Raw genomic sequence first — 20,289 nt, 5'->3', positions numbered from 1 at the left:
CTACCCTGAAACCAGATTGCTCTTCAGTAATAGGAATATGAGAGCAGGGTGAAAAGGCATTCCCCATTAACACTTGGAATTTATTACCAGATTTCTTGGACCAAAGTTTGTTGATATCCATGAAGACAGATATGTTAGAGTAGTAAGTGAAGGAAATCACAACTCAGACAATACTCAATTAAGAGTGACAAAACTTTTCTTGGTATAGCCAAGCCAGGAAAAACGGGCAGAACCACCATGGTTTGGCCCTCTTATCACTATATGCTTGAATGTATGACTAAAAGTGTGGGATATGGCCTTGAAACATGGCTATGTGAAGAGAGACTGGGCTAATGGCTTTGACCGGTAAAGAATACAGATTGGGTGTACATATTGGGTCACACCAAAACAATGAATATCCAATGTAAGTAATTTGTAGTTGTCATTCTTAGGAAAGGAGTAGCATATGTACCTTAGAAATATGCATCAGGGGTTGCAAAGCTGAGAAGGCATTCTGATATATGATTCTGGTGGAGGTGGTGGCGGGTGAACCTAACTTATTCCCAGCATTCAATATGCCTAGTTGAAAATCATTATAATAAATTTAGTAAGAGACAAATAGCAAACTGGGAAAATATATTTGCAACATATGCAGACAAACTGTTAATAACTTTATTATAAGAAGATGTCTTATAAATCAATAAGAAAAAGTAGACACAACTAATGGAAAATGTCTAAAGAATTCAAACAGGCAATTCCTGAAAGAAGGCTAAAATTGCAATAAACATGATAATCTGTCAAGCAACAATGAAATATCAATCTTTACCTCTCAGACTGGTAATGATTACAAAGCATACATTCAGTAAAGAGAATGGGGTGGGGAAATGAGCACCTTTTCATAAATTTTGGTGGAATTGTGAATTGGTACATTTCTGGAGGTTAAGTGGGCACGATGTGTCAAAATTTGTAAACTTAAAACCCTTTGACCAGGTACAGTGGCTCACACCTGTACTCCCAGCACTTTGGGAGGCCAAGGCAGGCAGATCACATGACACCAGGAGTTTGAGACTAGCCTACCTAACATGGTGAAACCCTGTCTCTAATAAAAATACAAAAATTAGCTGGGTGTGATGGCACACACCCGTAATCCCACCTACTCGGGAGGCTGGGGCATGAGAATCCCTTGAACCCGAGAGGCAGAGGTTGCAGTGAGCCGAGACTGGGCCACTGCACTCCAGCTTGGGCGAGACAGTGGGATGCCGTCTCAAAACAAAAACAACCACCTCTCCACCCCTAAAAAAAGTCCCAAACCTTTGACCCAGAAATTTCCCTTGTAAATATTTATGCTAAGAGTTATTAAACAAGTGCACAAAATTGCATATTGTGGATACTAATAGCCCAATTGATACAGTAGTTCAAATTTGAAACAATCTAAATGCTAATCTATAGGGTAAATGGCTACATAAATGAGTGTGTATCCATATAATGGAATATTAAGTACTTGGTATTACGTTGAAAAGTATTCCTGATGTATTAAATTTTTAAAAAAGCAGATTATAGAGTAGCATTATTTTAAAAAACCATCTGTGTTAAGAAAAAAAGGCTTATATAGGCATGTAAAATTTATTTAGAATGGGAGACAAAATTATAGGGGGGATTTTCATTTTGTTTCTTTTTTTGTTATTTTATCTGTGCTAATGTATTATCAGGATAATCTATGTCCATTTAAATAAAATAAAAATAATTCATACAAGCTAACAAAAAGGTAAACATCTTTAAAAGTTTGAATGAAACATATCTCGTGGAAAACATTGTAATTCCAAGTTAGTCAAGCACCTGTGTTATATGATGGCTATAACGTGGGGGAGGAGTAATGAGCAGAATAAAACAAAAGACTGGAACTAATAGTAGTTAGTGTTATCAACAATTTTCTCCATTTTCTCTAAGTAGCATCCATGTAGCAAAATTTACTTCTAGAAGATTCAAAGTCTTTCTCTACAACTCTTTAATTAGGTTATTTCTTTTTACTCCTGACTCAACAGGCTTCCAGGTTCACTTTTCTTTGAAAGCAGAGGTTGCTGACAATATTACCAACATGGAAAGGTGGACTAGGAAAAAAAAGATGGATAGCTTGATTTATGTTGCTAACCTTGTATGGACTGTAGGACATTTAAAAATATTTTGTACTGGGTGTGGTGGCTCACTCCTGTAATCCCAGTGGTTTTGAAGGCCAAGGCAGGAGGATTGCTTGCAGGCAGGAATTTGAGACCAGCCGGGGCAACACAGCCAGTCCTCCTTCTCTATCAGCTATTTAGGAGGCTGAGGCAGGAGGATGAGGCAGGAGGATAGCTCGAGCCCAGGAATTCGATGTTGCACTAACCTATGATTACACCACTGCAATCCAGCCTAGCTGATAGAGTGAGACCCTGTTTCTAAAAAGAAAAAAATATTGCTATTTTATACAAAAAAATTTATGATAAAATGTCCTCTCCTTTAGGTTTTGTAGGTAACTGTATCCTATTTGCATTTGATCCACATGAAAGAACTCTGTTCTCAAAGTTTGCAGATGCTGTTGTTGCTTGTATTTGCTTTTACTCTGTTATGATGCTACCAAGATTTTGGTTAGATGGCTGTTATTCTAGGTGGCAGACATGCGGGTTTCCCTCCCTTTGCACAACTAAACAAGGTAGGCTTTGGTTCTGGGCAGTCACTGGTATTTACAAACCACTTATTCATGCCAGGTAATAGGGTTCCAGATTGGGTAAGTTTTATGTTCTGGTTCTTGGTATATGTTTAGACAGCTTATAAATGTAAATAAACATTCTACTCTTACAGGTGGAGTGTGGACACGGTGATATCCGTGTGACCGCCATTCCCAGCTGAAGGTTATCTCATCTATGATTTTCTTATACGTGACTGGCACCCCCTAGTGAATAGGGACTTAAGTTGACCTCCACGGTAGAAGAAATACCAGGGAAATACCTGAAGCTGTTTTAACAATTTCTCCTTGTATTAAGTATTATGCTGCAGTTTTGCGTGTGTGAATGGAAGTATGGGTAGAGATCTGTTCTCCCTAAAAACTCCAGGATTCCACAATATAGAAATAGTAATCAAATTTTTAGGTGAAGCTCGAACTAATCCGAACTTTGTTAGATCATCACTGTAAATGAATGGGTATTTATCCACTCCCTAAATGAAGAGACTTGACTGGATTTCTTTTTTTTATATAGCTACTAGAATCTGTTACACATAATTTAGGATTGAGACTTGAGAAATTGTCATTCCAATCCAGAAAACTTTAGATTTGCAAATATATTTGACAAATTAATAAATTAACATTTTATTTGGTTAATTTCAAGAATAGGGCATTTAAAGAAGTCTGTGTTTGCTTTAGTTCGGCAATAAAGTTCCTGCCACTCACAATAATCCTTATTATTCTCTGAAAGACATGTTATATTTTTGTCATCATAAATATTTATTAATTACTGTTTATAGCACTGGGTTAGGTACTCATCAAGCAACCAAAAATAATTCTTACCATCTAGGATGCTTCCAATATAAAATATAGACAATATATAACCAGGTCAATTGGGAAATAGATCATTTCAGTATGATAAAAGATAGTATTCACATTAACAGTGTGAAAGGGCAGGAACAATAAGACACTTGACTCACTGGTCTTTAAAATGTAGCATCCAAAATGAGCAAGTGGAGAAAAGGTTAAACAAGTAGGTGACACATTTAAAAAACAAGTAGATGAAAGGACTATTCTCAAAAATCTTGTTTTATGTGAGAAACCATCAAATTATGAATTCCAAGTACTGTATTTTTTTTACTTTTCAAGGGTAGGCTCTCCTATACCTTATCTAAACAATTTTTCAAAATAGCCACAATTACTTTGTTTTCCTCTCTACACTAAATTGCCCTTTGCCTCTTGAGCGATTATCTTTTTCAGATTCACCTCAACTTCTTCAGGTTCAAGCGGACTTCACCTGTAAGCCCCTCTCGGTTCTCCCTCTTCTCTGAACTACTAATGGCCTAATTTAGCACAATTATATTGCTTTGTTCATTCCATGTATAGTAAAAGAGTCTACAAAACACATGCAAGCATTCATGCAATTATATGTTGATTTGTTCATGGGTCGACCCCAAAGTCTATTCTCCATCGCTGAAGCATGGAAGACAAATACCCTTCACTTCTTCAGAGGCATAACACATGCACTTCTCTTGTCATGGTGACAGGCATGTGCTGGTGGAGGTCAAAGAAACAGGAACACAAGTGAAATCGAGGTGAGTGTCAGGTAAGGACCAAAGCACCACGCCTACCTCATCTTTGCCCACAGAACACCCATTCTTCCCGTGTCCTGTTTCCCAGGACGTATCCGGGGCGGATAAGAAATCACCCGTGGGGAGGCGGTGAACTCCTCCGCAGGGGCCGATGCCCGGGACAGGGGCGGGGAAGGCTAATGAGGCGACTTGTGCGGGGAGGGGCCAAGGAGGAGCCCAGGTGTCCCGCTCCCGCTCGACGGCGCGCGCCTGCGCGAGCCCAGTTGGCGTCGCACCCTTGAGCGCAGCATCCCTACGCCAGCGAGTCCCAATACTAGGGAGGGAGGGAGGGAGGAGGGGCGGCCGGCCCCCCGCCCCCGCGCGCGGCCACGTGACGCCGGCTGAGGAGATTGGAGGGGCGGCTGCGCGAGGCTGCAGACTGGTGCAGCGCACTGTGCTGGCGGCTGGGCCTCCTCCACCTCCTCGTCTTTCTCCCGGGAACCTTGACGACGCCTTCCGCTTGGCCCTGCCTTCTGCCGCATCCCCGCCGCCGCGGCGCCTTGAGGAGCAGGAGAAGACGCAGCCGGGCCGCCGCCGTTAGAGGGGTTCCCGGCCGCCGCTCGCCCCGTCGGCCGCCACCGCCTCCGGGGTCAGCCCTCTCTCTGGGTCTCCGCTTTCTCCTGCCGCCAGCGCCCGCTCATCGCCGCGATGGGGCTCCTGGACTCGGAGCCGGGTAGTGTCCTAAACGTAGTGTCCACGGCACTCAACGACACGGTAGAGTTCTACCGCTGGACCTGGTCCATCGCAGGTAAAGCCGCTGACTTCCCCATCCTCGCTCGGTCCCCCGCGGGGGGTCACCGGCCCCTGGTCTCGCAGCTCCCGGGCCCGGCCCCACAGGCCCCCGCGCCCTGCGGCTTTCGGATGCTGCGGATCAGCGGAGGGGCCGGCGCGGGCACTGCGGTTGAGCACTGGTTAATCTGATCCGAATGTTAAGGCCTCCCCTCCCCCGACACTCGCAGGGTTTTCTTCTGAGCTCCCTCCATCTCTCATCAGCTCTCGGATGCGGGAGCTGACATATCAGATGGAGCCTGTGCAGCCAGGAGCTCCTCGCAGGAGCCGCCCCACCCTGTGCTCCCACATCTCCCGAGCTCGCCTCCCTCTTCCCCGTGCACAGGATTCCTTTTAACATTTAGTCCTATTTTGTATGGAGAGCGGGCTGGGGAGGAAGGAGGGCTTCAGGGGCAGCTGAAGGTACAGGAGGTTTCTTCAGCCTCCTGGTCGCTTTGACAGAACCCTGCTAATCTTTTCTTCTATCTAGCTCCTTCATCTATAGTATAATTCGGACTGAAAAGTAAAATAATATTGTTTGGCTCCTTGAACCTTGAAGAATGTTAGTTTCCGAGGCATTTTCAACAGCAAATATGTTTGAAGTGATTGTCTATAATGGCTTTGCGCACTGCAGTGCAGTCAGGGGGAGGGGGAGGCCAAAACACCGGGGAAGAAATCAGTCTTTAGGAAGGGGGTCTCTACAGCAACACCTAGAGGTTGTCCCAGATGCCTACATATATACAGTTCTTAAATCAGCAAACTTTTCTTTAGCTGTTGCAGTTAATTTGGCAGGGCTGTCAATTGTTTGATTTATGCAGCTTTCCTAGCGTCCAACTGTGATATTATATTTTTACATTGTACTGTTTATTTCTTCATTTGCTTCGCTGCTTTTGATTTTAAAGCATTTAAAAGTCTTTGAAATCTAAAATAAGGTTTAAAGGATTTCAGAAATGATTTTACGAGGTCAATTTTTCTGGTCCTTTTGCAGTATCACACTGCATCCTATCAGTGAAGGATATTAACGTTCCATCTTATGACTCTGCCTTCCCTACTTCGAAATGAAAATGTACTCCTGTAGTTTTTGTGTTCATTGTTGTTAGAGGAAATTAGACAGTGGTTACAGCATGAATGTAGTCCGATACATAGGGCTTATGTTTTGGGAAAAACGTATGCTGGAATTATTTTTGTGAGAGACAAAATGATTATTTGGCATTAATACTGCATTCACTTCTTTAGAAAAGTATGTTCTTTTTCAGAAGATCTCAACTTTGACACTGGGAAATAAGCTATTTAATAAGCCATTACAGCTGAAAATGGTTAAAAGGCAGTTTTCAATGGAGTGTTTCTTCAGTTTTTTTTTTTGTTTCTATGCGCTATTACACTGATGTTACACTGTACCTGCAAAAACTGGGAAAGATGTGCCCTTCCCTTCACGTCTGTGATTTCGGTTCTTTAAACGTTGCATCAGGGCTTCCCATTACACAATTGTATAGAGCTGAACATCAGACAAGTTCTTTAGCAGGTAATTGCACTTCGCACACCTAGGAGTCAGACACTGTTGAGATACTCCAGTCTCCATATAGCCAGAGCCACACCCAGGAGTTCTCGGTCCTGTCATTCCTATCCTATCCCGGAGCTTTCCCATCTCTTGAGTCTCAGAAGGAAAAATTGAGGGCAAAGGTAGAATACACCTTTCTGTGATGGTGAATTCCTTCCTGATGATGTTTGTGTAAAAGAAACCACACACACACAAATGAAACAGGAAATTTTGTGCAGTTGCCGCATGTGAAAGCTTGCTACTAGGCTTCGAAGGGCATATAAAATAATATAATATTGTGGGCCAAGCCTGAGAAGTGAGAGTAGCCTTAGAACACAAGTGACCTCTCACTAGCAGGCCGAAGGAAGGTATTTGCCTATGCTTTGACTATCCACTTACGAAACCTGAGACTGCTTCCTTGCTTTCTGTAATGAGCTACCTTATGTAGGCAGATGGTATTTCTTAACCAACAGAGAGGCTTAGTGGATATAGTCTGTTCTGCTGTACTGCTGTGTGAGGAGGAGTATTTTTCAGGTCCAGGCCGAATAGACCTGAAGTCTGTGGTGTCCCATTTACGTTTACTCTCCCTCATTCTATGCCCCTCGTGTTCCTTTTTTTTTTTTTTTTTTTTTTTTGGACTCATTCACTCTGCTCTGATTCCACCTCTCAGCATAATTTGATGAAAATCTGGGTGGGGGATATCAAAATAGAAAAGTAGCTTATAAGATGAGGTTAAACAAAAGTTGGTGAGTCAAATGTTTGGAAAGAAGGGGAAACAGAAATGGGCGGGATAGAAAGATGGTCTTGAGAAATAGTGATGAGTGTGGTGAAAGGATGCAAATTATTGAGGGAGAGCAAGAAATGAGGTAGGCTCCTTGTCCTTGGCTGCTCTCATTCCTAGTGCTGTAGTTACATGCTTCTTTCATTCTTTTATTAATTCATTAAATGCCATTTTGTGCTATTATATCAAATGGTGCTTTAAATATCCAAACATATCCAAAGCAATGTCTGAAAACTGGGCTTTTCAGAGGCACATATGTAGCAAATACAAAATATGGTCCATAATAATGTTAACAACAAAAATGTTACTTTTACTACAGTATTAACACTTTGTACATTGGAATTGAAAGTTTGAAAGAGCTATACTTTTAGAAAAACAACAAAAATAATTTTTATTTCTCTGTATTTGTAGACATTTTGAACGAGGAAATTAGCGTTGGTTTATGTTAAAGTATAGGCTGGTGTAGGACTTTATACTAGTTGTTAGTATTAGAGTAGGTATTCCATGTCATCATGTTAGTTTTTTTCTTCTATTCTTTCACTTCATGAGTACATTTAAATTATTAGGATTGGAGTCCTAGGCTCAACGTATACATCTAATAAAAGTTGTATATACATTTTTTAAACTGATGAATCTAAATATTCCCCAATCTATGAATACCCAACTTATCTACATTATTCATTTATTCATGCTTTTAATAAATGTTTAATAGCTTTTTTGCATACCTGACATTTAGCATATAAACACCCTAGAGAGTTAGTAGGATGCTTACGGTAAAGCCAGGTGTCTCCTGTGAGGCCATGTATCTTCTGACCATTTGTTTCTAAATAGCTGTTGTTCACAGGGTATGGGTGCTGTCTGTTGGTTGGGGGTGGTAATGATTGGCATTGGCCCTCTTTTCGCAGATATAGTACCCTGCATTTTGGTGAAAAAAATTGTCTACTTGGTAGTTGCAGTTAGAACATAACTTGCTGGGTCCTTGAATTAACTTTGGAGGGGTCAGAAAGAAGGGATGAGTGGTACAGGAAGAGGGAGGAGAGCTGTAGGATGACGAAATGTGGAAGCCAGGCTTATGATACCATTTCTTTCCGTATTTACTTGCCATGTACAGGCACAGTTCTAGGCTCTGGAAAGGAAAGGAGGACACTTGGTCACTGCCCTCATGCATCTTGCAAAGTCTAGGGGGTCACTGTCATTCCCCTTTCCTTGATATCATGGTCTGGAGGCAGTGTGATCTGTCAGACTCAGGACTAGCTGGGGCCTAGGGAAGATCAGAAAAGTCCTTCCCTGCTCTTCTCATCTCTACTTCTCCTAAGTGAAAGGAATATACAGTTGTTTTTAGAATATTTTAGCTGTTTCACCACAGTTTACTTCCCTCTACCCTTGAATGAGGAGTTGATGTGAGTACTGTCAGAGTATTTGGAGAGGCATACTAGGGCAAAAGGTGTCAAAGGCAAGGGGAACAGCTTGACTGAAAACCATGGAAACTGGGAAGGTGCTTAAGGGTCAGGCCAGTGAGTCATCCAGGTTTGATGAAGCTGGGGGCTAGTGGGAGGGGATGTTTAACTCAGCTCAAATAAGCTGAAGTAAAAGCAGGTTTGTCTTAGGGATTGCTAGGTCCCAGAGGAGCATGTATTTTAAGTATTGTACAGTATGCTTACATTAATTTTATTATTCGTCACAGTTAATGTTTAGTTTTTCATCTATGTTATTATCTAAAATAGGTTTATTTGTTTGGCTAAGCCTGGTAATGCAGTTTTCTTTGAATGTTTCTTTGAGAAAAGACATTCTGATTCCAAGTTGTAGGCAGCTAATTAAAAAAAAAAAAGAAAGAAAGAAACATCACCAGCTCCTAACATGGGATCTCCCTTGGTCACTGTTTTCAGTGACGTCCTAATTATCCTTTACTCATAAGCTCCTTGAAGCCTCTGGGATGTCCATGCCATTTTATGGTTTTTTGTTTTGGTTTGGTTTTTATTGTCTTTTCCTTCACCACAGTTTGATTTTTGGTGGTAGACTGCTAGACTTTAATAGCTAATGCTCTTATCCATTCCCCAATGATAGCATAAAGTAAAACATCCTATTGCAGATGGAATTCCAGGAGGGTAAACAATGCAGGTTCTAAAACGGGTGTCAGGACACAGTTTTAACTATTTTAACTTAGATTCTTTGGCTTAGGAAGACAAAGTTTTAAGAATTATGCAGATAATTATATCAGATGGCACTTTTGTAAACTTAAGAGCCACAGAGCACTTGGTCATCCTTTAAAAATTCAATTTGTTTTCTTATTTTTTTGCTCAAGTCCTGTGGATAATGTCACCTGTAAATGCTTTAACATTATTAACGTAAGTATTTTCATTTGTTAAGCCACTTATTATTCTGAATTAGGCATATATTAGCACACCGAAATGAGTAGTGTAACAGTCTATCTTTTTTCACTTTAGATGTTTTTTTCGTCTTCATTATCAGGACATTTTGCCTGTTAACAAACGAAGGTACTATTGTTTTATTTTCTATTAGAATATATATTTTAAAATCATGTGGGTTTGGATTTCAGAAAGGAGATGGGAGGAAACACATGGCCTTTTAAAGCCAAGGTCCACATTAACTTTCTCGCTTGATCCTTCAGTATTCCCCTGCCCAAAGACCTGCAGCTCTAGCCAACTGGGATAACTCACTGACCCTTAAGTAAAATGTGTACATGTCCACCTTTATGTTTCTCATCCCACCATTCCCCTTGCCTTTACCCACCTTTTCCCTGTTTACCTCTCCAGATACCTTTTACCAGAACCCAGTACAATAGTCCTCCTTTGCAAAGCCTTTCTTGTTTATGGTACCCTGGAGCAAGTTGTTGTCTCACAGGAGCTCATTGTCTTTAGTAATTACTCACGTATTTCCTGTGCCATTCCTTCTATGACCCTAGTGTCAAACTGTTTAAACTTTCGTTATTATTTACCACTTCACTCCTTTGTATCTTTCTCTCCAACATCAGAGATTATCACATATATTTGTTGATATGATATGTATCAGGAGATGACCCTCTTAATCTAGCATAATTTTGAATCATGATATATTGTGGTTGCTAAACATGAATAAGGCTTTAGACCACACTAAATTACAGAAGGTTTTTGTTTTTGTTTTTCATAGAGTGGGGATTTCACCATGTTGCCCTGGCTGCTCTTAAACTCCTGGTGTCATGTGATCTGCCCACCTCAGCCCCACAAAGTGCTGGGATTACAGGCACGACCCACTGTGCCCGGCCAGAGAGTTCTTTAAAAGAATGATATTTTTTATGAGTTGGTCATTAATTCAGTTGCCGTTCACTAAATTTAATGAGTAAATCAGGCCATTAAGTCATTTAGAAGCACAAAACAGATAAAAAATGAAGATTCCAAGACATATAAAATCAGATATGATTGTTCTCTTCATTGTCTGTGCAGAAGCATTGCCTTGTGTGGAAGTGAGGAGGGCAGTGTGGTATAGTGAATGGGAAGAATTCTGGACTGGGATTTAGATGACCTAGGTTTTAGTCCTGGTCTGCTGCTGATTTGCTATGAGAGTTTGGACAAGTTCCTTTGCCTTCCCAATTCTCAGCATTGTTCTCTGTAAATTAAGAGGGTTAAATTAGGTAATCTGTAAGGTCCTACCTGACTCTAAAAGTCTAGATATAGATATCACTTTCTTTATTCTTGGAATAGGTAAAGCAATTTCAAATAAATATACATTTATCAGGGATTCAGAAACCTCATTCTTTATAGTAAATAAAATTTTTTTCCAGCAAAACTGTTATCAACACTGCCTAAATAGTACAAATAACAGATTCTTATTTAGTTCTTTTTACTTTTTAAAATTTGCTTTATAAGAAATAGGTAGAGGAATAGAGCAACAAAAGTATACAGATATTTAAGCGTCTGTTTTGAAATAACATTGCTTTTGTTGCTGTAACACTATACCTGTTTAATTATCTGGATTCCTTGAATAACCAAGAGCCAACTATTTTATCGAAAACAGTAGCAATAATATTAAAGAATAAAATTATCTCAATTATATATTACATTTATTTTGTGATACTCAGCTTTTGAGGATGGCATATTATGTCGTTTTAGGCAAGTTATTCATGACTCTTTGGGTCTCTTATTTCTACCTGTGCTGTGAGAGGGTTGAACTACATAACCTTTAAGGCTTAGTTTATTGAATCCTTATAACATCTCCTAAAACAGCAGCCTAGATATCAGTCTAAACTCAGTCTTCATATTTTTCCAATAGAAAATGTGAAATTTTAACATACATCATTACAAATGATTTTCTATTATAAACACTTTATATATGAGCATTTTTTACTTAAGTTTGGAAGTATGGCTTAAGATTTTTGTAAAATTGATAAAAATGTGTAGGTCTTACAGAAGAGAAAACAAAAGAAACTAAATGGTTTTGGTATAAGTATGTTCCTTAACTAATCAAAATACAAATTTTTAAAATCTTTTGCCATATATTTTTCTTCATGAAATATTACCATTTGTAAACAAATACCTTAGAATGATGTTTTATTTATGATTATATTGTATTAGAGTAAAATTTTTGGAATTTGAAAGACAAATGCATTAGTCCACTGAGGAAATCAGTTACTCACTGTCAGGTATAATCACATAAAAGCATTTGTGATTTTGAACTGCAGAATTCCAAGAAACAAGCTTTTCTGTTTTCATTTTTATTCACTTATCAAACAAAAACTTGAGCACAGATGTGTGTTTTTAACTAATTTTATATATTTTTTCACACACGTACATAGCAGCATTATTCACAGTAGTTAAGAGGTGGAAACGACCCAGATGTCCAGTGTTGGATAAATGGATAAACGCAACGTGGTATATACATACAATGGAATATTATTCAGTCTTAAAAAGGAAAGAAATTCTGACATGTGCTACAACATAGATGAACCTTGTTACTAAGTGAAATAGTCTAGTCACAAAAAGATAATTATGTATGTGGCATTATGGTTCCACTTATATGGACCCTCTACTGTAGTCAAATTCGGGCTGGGCCCAGTGGCTCATGCCTATAATGCTAGCACTTTGGGAGGTGGAGGCTCAAGGATCACTTGAGCCCAGGAGTTCAAGACCAACATGAGCAACAAAAAAATATTAAAAATTAGCCAGGCCTGGTGCCATATGCCTCTAGTCTCAGCTATTGAGAAGGCTGAGGGAGAAGGATCACTTGAACCTGGGAGGTGAAGGCTTCAGTGAACCATAATTGTGCCACTGCACTCCAGCCTGGGTGACAGAGTAAGATCCTGGCCCAATAAATAAATAAATAAATAAATAAATAAATAAATAAAGTAGTCAAATTAATAGAAACAGAAAGTAGAAAGATGTTTGCTAGGGCCTGGGGAGAAGGAGAACTGATGACTTGTTTAATAGGTATAGAGTTTCAGTTTTTCAAGATAGAAAAGTTCCAGAGAGTCACAACAATGTGGATATGCTTAATGATACTGGACTGTACACTTAAAAATGATTAAGATGGTATATTTTATGTTATGTGCTTTTCTTTTTACCGCAATGCAAGAATTTCATATATTATAAAATTAATACATTAGCACCTGTAGAAATGATCTCTTTAGTGCTCAATGGTAAAACAGTCAATTCTTCTTTATTTTTTCAATTTAAAGTAAAATGACTTTATAAAGAGACTATATAGCTGTTGGCTTAAAAAAAATCCGAGTGGCTAGAAAGTAGCAAATAACAAGAAAGAAAACTTTAGCTTTGTATTTTGCTTTATGGTTTTACAAACAACTTCACAATAACTCTGGGAGATAGGCCTTGAAGGCATTTTTTCCATATATTTAGAAGTCTTTGAGATTTACAGAAGTTACGTAACTTTTGTAGGTGGTCACTATAGTGCAAATGAATGTGCATGGGTTGTTTTGTCCCTAGCCCAGTGCTCTTGTCTTCCCGTCACACTAGCCAAGCAAGAAAGAAATAATCAGGCCTGTAATCTGTGTTTCTCTTTTATTTTACCTTTTCTTTTATTGTTATCTACAGAGTATCACTGTTTAGAATACTAAATCTGAACAAAGTCATAATATTACCAAAGATCATCTAAAGAAAGACATCTAAATATTCAAAGGTGCTATAAAGGCTGGTGTATGAGATTAAACTACAAAGTGATATTTATTCATATACTATATACATACACAAATATGTGAATATATGTAGAATACAAAATGCGATATTTAGCCTGAGAAGATGGTTAACTTCCATATGACGGTGTAGGATTGTTTAAAAAAAGTGTATTCAAAGTGAATTATGAAAGTATTTGCCAAATTGCATAATACAAGAGCTAGAAACTTGTTAGTGAAAGGATAATGAAATTCATTCAGGACTAACCGTATTTTACCCAGTGGCTATTCAACTTATAGAACTGTTAGAGTCAAGGGAAGATTTTGGCTAAAGTTCCCATTAACTCACACACTCACACACTCTAATGGTATCTTCCATCTTTTTTGCTAAAGGGAAACACCATTTCAATTTTCTTAAAGCTTTGAGTTCATTGGCAGCATTGGGTGGATGGTTGAACTTGGAACTCCCAGATTAAGTTTTATGACTACTTTTTCTGAGAAGCCCAGCAAAATTGGAAACAAGGAGAGAAGGAAACTACTTGTATTCTGATCTTGGCTTCCAGGAAACGAGGCAACATTCTTCAGCTCTCTCTCTCGAGATATATTTTCTCCCTTGAAATTGTCTCCTTTTCCCTTATGAACTGGCTTTTATGAATAGGCCATTTTCTGAAGTCATGAATTTGGACATCACCTGCACTTGGGCATGGTGGCTCACGCCTGTAATCCCAGCACTTTGGGAGGCCGAGGCGGGTGGATCATTGAGGTCAGGAATTTGAAACCAGATATCGTCTGCACATGATGAAACTCACTACCATTTATTGAGCATTTAGTATAGGACCATTTTAAGATGCTGTAGTACTGTATTTGATACACCTTATATTTAATTTTCAGATCATCTCTATAAGTTAGATATTATTTAACCATCTATAGATGAAGAAATAGACTCAAAGCTACATAGCTAGAAAGTAACAGAGTTGGAATAGGATCAAGATCTTTCTCCTTCCCAACAGTGACCTTTTTATAATGCAACATAGCCTACTTATTTATTCAATAAATACCATTTTATTGCCCAGTAATAATAGTGAACATTTATTGGATGCTTACTAAGTGTCAGGCACTGTGTCCAGTGTTTTATATGTATTATCACATTTAGTCCTCATATTCCATTGGGCTCGGTACCGTTATTATCCCCATTTTCCAGGTGAGTAAACTGACTTTCCCTGAACCTGATTCATCTAATACTAACCCTGTCAAATTAAATCCCAGGGTAACCAGCCTTCAGCTCGAATCACACATTGATTCTCTCATCTGTGTTAACTGTCTTTTCTCCTTTACAGCTTCTGAATCTGTTCTTATTTTTTGCTTGCTCTAGGAAATTTTATAATTTCTCTCACTTTCTACCATTATTATGATCTCTATTCAGGCAAACTTGCAATGAAAATTCTTTTTCCCTCTGCTTTTTAACTCTGTCCTCCATTCTTTCAGGCTCTTGGGTAACTGTTATAGAACTGAGTTAGAGGAGACATCTTGTTTTAACCCTGTGCTGAATGACTCTCAGGGCACCTGCTCCCTCATACCTTGAGACATTGCAGCTTTCCCCTCTTTCACTGGTGAAGGTCTCTGTTCCCTCCTGTCTGCCCATCACATTCTGACTTCTTTGCCATTTTTTAGCCCAGCCTCTGCCTTATCTACCCCTGCATTCTGCAAAAGCTACCCTTTCCTCCCATTCATCCAGGTGCTCTTCCAAACTCAAACCTTCCATCCTCTTTTTTGAGTACATAGGGGTTAGAACAGAAATTTTCCCTGCTAATCATGCTGACTATACAGGAAACTGATCATGCTATTCTTCACCCACCACCTTCAGGATCTGTTTGTTTCTAGAGTGTGTCTCAGATTGTTCATTACCTGCCTCATTTGTCCAGTTGTATTTGAAGGGCCCTTCTCTTCTAGTTCTGCCTTTTTCACCTCACTGATAGACATGGCTTGAGGAATATATTAAGCATCACATTTTAGATTTGAACCTAGGAGAGGCCTTTAAGATGTATAGAGTTTACTCCGTTTGTTAGAAATAAGCTCTTTCCAAGACTCTTCTTGACAACCGTTGTCTACAGTTTTCATTGAAAATTTCTTTTAACAAATGTTTTGAAGACTCTTACATACCTGACATTGTTAACAGAGATACAGCAAGGAACAAGGGCTGTAGCATTGGCCCTCGTGACATTTATAAGAAATGGAGGAAGACATTGACTATTTCCTTAAGAAAAAGACTACAGTTACCCTTTGGGGTACTTGCAGTGTACAGTGTGACATACTAATAGGTAACCTTTTTGTGTAATCAGTAAAGGCAAATGGATTTTTAATATCACTTAGTATATTAGTGGTGATCAGTAGCCAGATGTTTAAAAAAAAGGAATTAATTTGCAACTGTTGGTTTTAACAAATTAAAGGATGGATAGTTTTAGGGAATAGTATAGTACAGACTTCTTGGTGTCTTGAATATACTCCTGAAGCTGCTCAATATTTAGCGATTGTTAGACTTGTGTTCTTCTTTTTTTATGGTAGATTAAACAAATGTAGATGGTTTTAGAAGATGAGGAAGTGGCTGATTTATTCGGATAGAATCTAGGAAGAAATCAAGTCAACTTTATTTTGTGACTTAATTGCCTGTTAAAGTAGGCTCACATTTCTGAGTAGACCAGAGCAGTGCTCCTTAGACTTTAATGTGTAAAGTCACTGTGGAATCTTATTAAAATGCAGATTCTGATTTAGTAGTTCTGGGGTGAGGCCTGAGATTCTGCATTTCTTGTAAGGTTCCAGGTGATGCTTTTCTGCTGGTGCATGGACTCTACTTTGAATAACAAGGGAATGGAGTATTCCTAATTTGTTTTGCAATCTACTGCTGTGTACTGTTATGGAAAAAGAAGAAGTTTTAAACATGCTTAAGTTATTAATGTAAAAATCAAATGCTAGATGTATTTAGATTTAATTATTTTTTATCCTAACAGGAATTTTGTGTGTCTTCTGGAACCGTATTATATTGATCAGTAACTGTTGCTCATTTTACCTGAATCAAAAGGGCCAATGATTTGGTTAATCTTATTATCACCTTCACTTTACACATGCGAAAATAGTGGCTCTGAGTTTCAGGTTCATCATCATGGGGCTAGAAAATAAATGACAGAGCTAGAATTTAGGTTTTTAATTCAAGTCTTGTCCCTCTCCCTGTATCAAGCTGCCTCTACTCCATGTGACTCCCCTTGCCATCATCTAAGATGATTTCCTACTGTATTCTTGTATACCTTTTCTTTAGTTCTTCTAGGGGTTTGGGTGTTCTAAAATTTTTTTAATTACTGTTTTTTCTTTTGGGAGATTATAGTAAAACTTTATTAGCTTAGCTTACTTGGGGAAGATAGTTCATTCTGACTGGTGGAGATCCTGATTTGCAAAAAGCTTTAAAAGAAATCAGAAAAAAAATTGGTCTATTAGAGGTTTTTAAGGAAGTTGCTTTAATAAACATACTGATAATTTGTTGTAAGTATTAATTATAGTTGTTTGTGTATTAAGTAGAAGTTACCTGGGTTAGTTGAAAACTATTAGATTACAGGCATTTTATTATTTATTAAAATCTGGTTTATATTGTCATGAAAAGGAGTTTTTAAAAATAGCCTCTCTAAATAATTTTAAAAATCAGAGTGAGAATTTTTATGTATTTTATCTCCTGAATAAATAAATACAGAATTATAAAATGTCTTCTCAGTCTATGTCATAAAATGTTTTTTTATTCTCAGTGTAAACTCTTCTAAGTTTAATTATTCATGGTAATTTTTATTTAATTTGGTTTAACTTTTCTCTTTGAAGATAGAGGAGGATTTAGTGGTTGATCAGTGTCAATAATAATGAAATGCCAAAAATTATTGAACTCTGACACTGTGTCAGATGCTGTATACATGTTGTTCTATTCCTCACAACAGCCCTACTATCATCTATAAGGCCAGGGGCACTAAGTAACTTCTTGGGTTTATTCAGCTGGTAAGTGAAGAGTCTAATGCTGGTAAGTCTGATTTGAGAGTCCATATTCAGAATATAGAACTCTCTAGGTTGAGAAGAAAAATCCTGGAAGACATTGAGGGGCTTGACTTTTAAGGGGAGGGGCTCAGATTATCTCTGACATGAGACATACTTTGTGAAGATGTAAATTTGGGAGAGAATAGGCTGCAGCAGAAGGGAATGCATGACGTCGTGGTATCCATGTGTGCTAGGAACCTTCGCATACTTTGGTTCATTTAGTTATCACATCTTAACCCTATGAAGTAACTATTTCCTCATTAAAAAAAGAAAAAGGAAGAACAGTTGGTTTTCCAGCTATAGATTCTGTTCTGCACCCTTTCCTTTTGGAAATTTCTCGGTCTTTGTGACATGGTTTTCTCTTTTCCTGCCTCTCTGGCTTATTTGCTGCCATTTCACCCACTCATCTTCAACTGTCCTCAGAGTCATTCCTTTTTCATGTTATTCTCTCACTGTACATGCTCCTTCCCTTGTGACCTCAAACTCTGGTGTGATTGTCATTGTCAGTGACCCCTCTGTGTGTCCACAGCCCTGGCAGTTCCTCTGCAGCTCCAGAGGCTACTGGACGCCTCCACCTAGCTGTCCCAAAAGTAGCTCAGATGCGAGATGTTCAACATTCACCTGATCAGTTTCTCCCAGATCTGCTCCTCTTCCTTTACTCTGTTATGGATCATGACTTCACTGTCTGTGTTGCCAGATAGACCAGAAATCTGGGAGTAATCCTGAACTTTTCTTTGACTCTCTTCTCTCACATCCACAACAGTCGTGGAGTCTGTAGATTTTACCCACGAAACCTTCGTATCTACCTATCCTGTTCATTGCCAGTGCAGCTCCCTAACCCAGGTTTCCATCATCTCTTATGTCCTAGTGGTCTCCAAGTCTGCCTGCCTGTCAGAATCACCTGGGGGAGCTCAGATCATAGTGTCCAGTCCCACCCGCAGAGATTTTGATTCAGTAGGACCTGGGAATCTATAATTTTAGCAAGCACATGATTCTTACATGGGTAGTCTAGTGGTAGACAAGTATTGAGAACCACTGATGCAGTTGGTTTTCCTGCCTCTTGACATATCCCCTTCCCCTCAGTCCACACCCCACTGCCTCTACCATGATCTTTTGAAAGCCAAAACTGGCTGGGTGTGGTGGCTCATGACTGTAATCCCAGCACTTTGGGAGGCTGAGGTAGGTGGGTTGCTTGAGCTCAGGGGTTCAGGGCCAGCCTGAGCAACATGGCGAATCCTCGTCTCTACAAAAAACACAAAAATTAGCTGGGTGTTGTGGCATGCACCTGTAGTCCAAGCTACTTGGGTGGCTGAGGCACGAAAATCGCTTACGCCCTGGAGGTGGAGGCTGCAGTGAGCTGAGATCATGCCACTGCATTCTAGTCTGGGCAACAGAGCCAGACCCAGTCCCAAAACAAACAAACAAACAAACAAACAAAAACAATCAAATATCTCTTCATTATCTACATGATAAATTCCAGCATCCTCAGTGTAGTTTGTAAGACCTCCTAGGGGATCATCACAGTCATTTCCTGCCCTCTTCCTTTGTATATATCCTCTTCATCATGTCTGCTTAGTTTCCAGATTGTTTTATTTCTTGCTTCTGGGCTGCTTATACATTCAGTTCTCTCAGGGTATTCAGATATTCTCATTTGCTTATATCTTGTCATTGTACTAAGGGAACTTTTGTAGGTCTTTCTAATTCTGCCCCGTGAAAAAAGACTTTTCTCCCTGTCTGCTTGTCAAATTCCTCTTCTTTGAAAAAAAGTTCAAATGTCTGTGTTTATACCCTGCCTTCTCCCCTTTTCTGTCCTACCACTGTTCATAAGACACTCCTCTGACATAACACTCATCACACTGCATAGCAGTTGAATTCTCATGTCTGTCTCTTCCTCTGCTAGTTGAGCATTGAGAGATCAGGGACCAAGTGATCTGGCCAAAATCACTTTGCTGCAAAGGAGTAGTATATGACTTTGGAGTATATGACTTACCATCTATTCCACCATGCTATGTGATCTTAAGATAAAAATCAGATTAAGAATAAAAACTTATTGGTGGAAGATATTCAAGGGAAACCCCATTTCAGGTGGACTCTATTTTTTTTTTTTGAGAAGGAGTCTCTCTCTCTCTCTCTGTCACCCAGGCTGGAGTGCAGTGCGTGATTCCAGTTCACTCCAACCTCCACCTCCCGGATTCAAGCAATTCTCCTGCCTCAGCCTCCCGAGTAGCTGGGATTACAGGCGCACACCACCACGCCCAGCTAAATTTTTTTTGTATTTTTAGTAGAGACAGGGTTTCACCATGTTGGCCAGGCTGGTCTTGAACTCCTGACCTCAAGTGATTCGCCTGCCTCGGCCTCCCAAAGTGCTGGGATTACAGGCGTGAGCCACTGCACCCGGCCCCCTCATTTTTTATAAAGGAATAATACGCAAATAGTAAAATTGACTCCTTTTAGTGAACAGTTTTTGAATTTTGACAAACACATAGTTACATAATTATTACGTAACCTTTTAATAAAGATAAAATTGTATGATTGCTGAACACATTAAATCAGTCCCTCTTGGCATAAGCTTTAAAAATCAGTCTCAAAATATTTTCATTACAAACTATTTATTAACTCTTTAAGGGTCCGCAAGGGTTAAGGTGTAATGTGCCTTAGTAATTCTCATAATTAAAATAAAGGCTTTTGCTCCTGAGCTCAATTTGCTATGATATT

At 39.2% G+C, this 20,289-nt stretch overlaps 2 protein-coding genes and 1 long non-coding RNA gene across 3 annotated transcripts in view, besides 1 other annotated feature; 2 read left to right on the top strand and 1 right to left on the bottom strand.

Moving 5' to 3' along the window:
- Positions 1–4,428, bottom strand: part of LOC124901351 (uncharacterized) — a 32,242-nt gene extending 27,814 nt beyond the window's left edge. Inside the window, exon 1 of the long non-coding RNA XR_007059656.1 lies at positions 4,306–4,428. This is a non-coding gene — a long non-coding RNA (uncharacterized LOC124901351). The remainder of the gene's footprint in view (positions 1–4,305) is intronic.
- Positions 2,600–4,846, top strand: LOC124901350 (uncharacterized). The gene is made up of 2 exons (XM_047419628.1): positions 2,600–2,665; positions 4,222–4,846. Exon 2 carries the CDS (start codon positions 4,418–4,420, stop codon positions 4,844–4,846), a length of 429 nt encoding a protein of 142 aa, XP_047275584.1. The 5' UTR covers positions 2,600–2,665; positions 4,222–4,417.
- Positions 4,571–4,620: a silencer, noted in NCBI's record as "silent region_17349". NCBI's record gives its function as "represses an Ori minimal core promoter by ATAC-STARR-seq in GM12878 lymphoblastoid cells {active_cell/tissue: GM12878}" and the evidence as "EXISTENCE:reporter gene assay evidence [ECO:0000049][PMID:35858748]".
- Positions 4,680–20,289, top strand: part of ELOVL4 (ELOVL fatty acid elongase 4) — a 32,740-nt gene continuing 17,130 nt past the window's right edge. The window contains exon 1 of the mRNA NM_022726.4: positions 4,680–5,053. Within this exon, the coding sequence (NP_073563.1) occupies positions 4,954–5,053 (100 nt within the window). The 5' untranslated portion in view covers positions 4,680–4,953. The remainder of the gene's footprint in view (positions 5,054–20,289) is intronic.

Source organism: Homo sapiens, chromosome 6 (assembly GCF_000001405.40).
Source record: "Homo sapiens chromosome 6, GRCh38.p14 Primary Assembly".
Taxonomy (NCBI): Eukaryota; Metazoa; Chordata; class Mammalia; order Primates; family Hominidae; genus Homo; species Homo sapiens.
This window is presented reverse-complemented; position numbering and strand designations above follow the sequence as displayed.